At 47.4% G+C, this 4,042-nt stretch overlaps 2 annotated features.

Annotated features, from left to right (window-relative positions):
• Positions 468–967: an enhancer, noted in NCBI's record as "H3K4me1 hESC enhancer chr7:66903615-66904114 (GRCh37/hg19 assembly coordinates)". NCBI's record gives its function as "activates a minimal SCP1, AML or CMV promoter by ChIP-STARR-seq in naive H9 embryonic stem cells {active_cell/tissue: H9 hESC(naive)}" and the evidence as "EXISTENCE:reporter gene assay evidence [ECO:0000049][PMID:30033119]".
• Positions 968–1,469: an enhancer, noted in NCBI's record as "H3K4me1 hESC enhancer chr7:66903113-66903614 (GRCh37/hg19 assembly coordinates)". NCBI's record gives its function as "activates a minimal SCP1, AML or CMV promoter by ChIP-STARR-seq in naive H9 embryonic stem cells {active_cell/tissue: H9 hESC(naive)}" and the evidence as "EXISTENCE:reporter gene assay evidence [ECO:0000049][PMID:30033119]".

Raw genomic sequence — 4,042 nt, 5'->3', positions numbered from 1 at the left:
CCACCAACCCACATAAGCCTAACAAGTCTTACAGCCTCAGAAAGAGAAATCTTTAACCCAATTATGTCAAACCCCACTGGATACATTTGATCCGGGAAAAATATCATCTCTGGCAATCATAAAGAATATTAAGGTATTAGCAGCCGTCGTTTCAGAATTGCATTGGAAAGAGAGCTGGAAATAATCACACATCAGTTGCTCAAAAATCAGCAGTAAAAGAAATTTACATTAGTGTATAAATTACCCTTCTAGCAATATAAATTAGGATTTTATGCCTCCTAATGACAACAGTAAAGGCCCTGGCTGTGCTAAGCAGAGATTTCCTGGAGAAAGGAGCGGCTGTGCTCTGAATCCAGCAGGTACCTGGGCCCAAGTGCTGAGCTGGGGAGCAGAAGTGATTTGAATCTAACTGTCGCCCGCCTGGAAGCCGACCCTGCTGGAAGATTCCCCAAATCTGCAGAGCACCAGGGAGGCAGAAAAACCTCTTCAAAGCCCAGCTCAGGCTCTGCAGAGAACAAAAGTAATTTGCCTCGCTCACCTACCCGCCGCCCCCCAACAACGGCACACACAGCCCTCCTCAGCCCTCCCTTGGAAACAGAAGCTCTGGATTTACTTGCAAAGCTGTTACGTTATCAGCACTTTTGCTATACACGGTTGGGGGCTAGAGCTGCAGTTTTTCAGCTTTGAGTCAGGGCAGCCTAAGCTATCCAGAATCATGGACTATCTTTGCTGGAAGGGCCAACAGAAAATGTCTAGCAACCCCTTAGTGGGGAGACAGAGCAGGGGCCAAGGATCAGGGCAAGGAGAGTGAGGGTAAGACGAGGGCTTCTCCTGGGTCAGGTGACAGAAGCTAGAGGCAACTTCATTCCACAGGGCAGGTGCATGAAAGGTTGCCACTAGCTACAAGGATAGACAGTCCCTCAAATAATGGTCTCTCTCTCTCTCTCTCCTCTCTCTCTCTCTCTCTCTCTCTCTCGCTCGCTCGCTCTCTCTCTCTCTCTCTCCCCCCCCCCCCGTATGCCTTTGTGTGTTGGCTTCTTTCTCTCCCACTATATAGACTGACTTTTTCCATTCATCCAAGTAGATGACTGCCAACACCTTGTACTCACTGCCTCCCAGATTAACAACTCCTGACAAACAATGAAAAAAAAGCAAAGCAAACACACAAAGAATAAACAGAGCAGTTTTCTCGGCTCAGCCTGAGGGAGGCACTCTGATTGGCTCTTCTTGGTTACACACCCACCCCCTAGACCAATCACTGTTGAGAGGGGATGGAGTATTATGATTGGCTAGGTTTGGGTCACATGTTCACCATTAAGCCTCACTCATGGACCCTCTAGTTTGGATGGGCAGCGGTATTGGTGGTAAGGATGGGGGTCCCACCAAAACCATGAAGAAAGGGAGAACAGTTCTCCCAAAGGAAACAGAGTTACTGGGTCCTCTAGTGAGTGGCTGGTTCAAGGGACCCAAGAAATTCAATGATGAAGCCAGAACCACTGCACCTAGCTAATTTGTTTTATTTTATTTTTTCTAGAAATGAGGTCTTGCTATGTTGTGATGCATTGAGATCACTTGGGGAGCTGTTTAAAATCATAGATGCACAAGGCTGTGTTTCATGACCTACGGCACCCAGAGTAATACCTGGACCGTTGTCTCTAAATGCCTGTGAGACAAGCAGGCTGGGGTGGCCTCTTTCTTAGATCAGCCTCTGCTCCAAACCTTAGAGTCTTCCACTGGGCACATGGCCCAGAGAAAGTGCCGAGGACCACCGGGAGGGGATGGAGGTCCTGGTTCTGGCTTCATAATCGATTTTCTTGGGTCCCTTGAACCAGCCACTCACTAGAGGATCCAGTAACCCTGTTTCCTTTGGGAGAACTATTCTTCTCTCTTTCTCCACGTTTTTGGTGGGACCCCCATCCTTACCACCAAGACCACTGCCCATCCAAACTAGAGGGTCCATGAGTGAGGCTTAATGGTGAACATATGACCCAAACCTAGCCAATCACAATACTCCATCCCCTCTCAACAGTGATTGGTCCAGGAGGCGGGCCTGTAACCAAGAGCCTTCAATGCTGGGTATGCACTGAGATCACTTGAGGAGCTGTTTAAAATCATAGATGGTGTCCAAAACAGCCCTGTTCAAATTGCAAACAGACGGAACAGAGTAAGATGTCAGGGCCACACCACACAAGCAAGTGGCCCCAGATATGTCTGGAGACTGGTTGTGTTGTAGGGTCTCCAGTGAGATCGGTGGTACTAATGGGTGAACCTCTAGAATCACAGACTCACAGCCTCTGCCATGAAGAGGATACTTGGTGGCCAATCCCAGTTTAGAGGTCCTGAGATGAGGAGGTGTCCAGCTAAGGTCCATGCCAAGGTCATGGCTGAAGTGGGAATAGAACCTACACGTCTACACTCCCTCTCCAGTGTGTTTCCAGCAAAGGTGGCTGCGCCGCCTCATTTCCTTCCCCTCCTTATACCAGTAGTCTGTTCCCAATTTAACCTGGGGCTTTCCTTCCCCTCCACTCTGGGGTCCAGTGATAATCCGGGGCCATGACTGTTTCTGCTGTGTTGGGGTCTTACATGCCAATTGGACTGGAAGCCCCGTAAGGGACCCAGAGGGCCTGTGGGATTATGGAGAAAGTGTGCTCCCAATAAGGAAGAAGAAGAGGGTTTGGTACCTGCCTTGCTGTTTACAAGCTGTGTAAAAGCATTCTAATTTTCATTTCTTTTTTTTGTTTGTTTTTGAGACAGGATCTCACTCTGTCACCCAGACTGGAGTGCAGTGGTATGATCATACATAGCTCACGGCAGCCTCCACCTCCTGGGCTCAAGTGATCCTCCCGCCTCAGCCTCCTGAGTAGCTGGGACTGCAGGAATGCACCACCACGCTGGCTAATTTGTTTTTTTGTTTTTTTTTAAGAGATGAGGACTTGCTACGTTGCCCAGGCTGGTCTCAGATTCCTGGGCTCAAGCAATCTTCCTGCCTTGACCTCCCAAACTACTGGAATTACAGGTATGAGCCATCACACTCAACCAGCACCCTAATTTCCAAGGATTCCGGAGCCTCAGTCATCCTCATCCAGATAATGAAGGCAATAGTACCTCCCTCCCCAGGCAGAGGTGAGGAGTGAGAGAAGTGAATAAAGAGATTACTTCTATAAAAATCTAGCACAGCACCAGCCTCTCCAAAGGCCTCAAGCAAATGGGAAGCCAACCACTTCCTACCTCTCCTGGAGGTTGAGGCCAACTCCTGCCCTCTCTGAATCCCCTATGGGCCAAGAACCAGTCCCTGATTGATTGGTCGATTAATTAATGTGAAGACCAGGTCTCCACGAGGAAGTTTTCCGATGACAAAAAAATCTCTGGAGAATGAAATGTTATGTGTCACTTGTCAACAAAACCCAGCATTTTTCAGTGAAATAAGCATCTGATTCTAGAAAAACTTAATTAAAACTGCTGTTGGCGTTCAAATGATTTATGCCATCATTCCCAGCCTTCGCCCGGCAATTCCCTGGAGAGACACCAATTATCTCCCGGGGATGTTGTGAAATTCTCAAAATACTCCTCTAAACAACATGAATCTTTAATACATTTTAACTTTAAAAAAAATCGGATCATGCAGCACTTTTTTCCAGAAAAAAAAAAAAAAAAAAAGCTCCAAAGTTTGGAGTGAAGAGAAATCTAACAGAAATGGAAGGTCAGCTGGGGGCAGTGGCTCACACCTGTAATCCTCCACAATTTGGGAGGCTGAGGGGGGAGGACTGCTTGAGATTACAAGTTCAAGACCAGCCTGGGCAACACATGGAGACCCTGTCTCTACAAAAATAAAATAAAATAAAATTAGCTAGATATGCTGGCACTTACCTGTAGTCCCAGCTACTCAGGAGGCTGAGGCTGGAGGATCACTTAAGCCCAGGATTTCAAGGCTGCAGTAAGCTATGATCATGCCACTGCTATCCAGCGTGGGCAACAGAGCAAGACCCTGTCTCAAAAAAAAAAAAAAAAAAAAGGAATTAAAAAAGAAATGGAAGGCTCTTGC

Source organism: Homo sapiens, chromosome 7 (assembly GCF_000001405.40).
Source record: "Homo sapiens chromosome 7, GRCh38.p14 Primary Assembly".
NCBI lineage: Eukaryota > Metazoa > Chordata > Mammalia > Primates > Hominidae > Homo > Homo sapiens.
The sequence above is the reverse complement of the archived record's forward strand: the minus strand, read 5'-3'. Positions and strand labels throughout refer to the sequence as shown.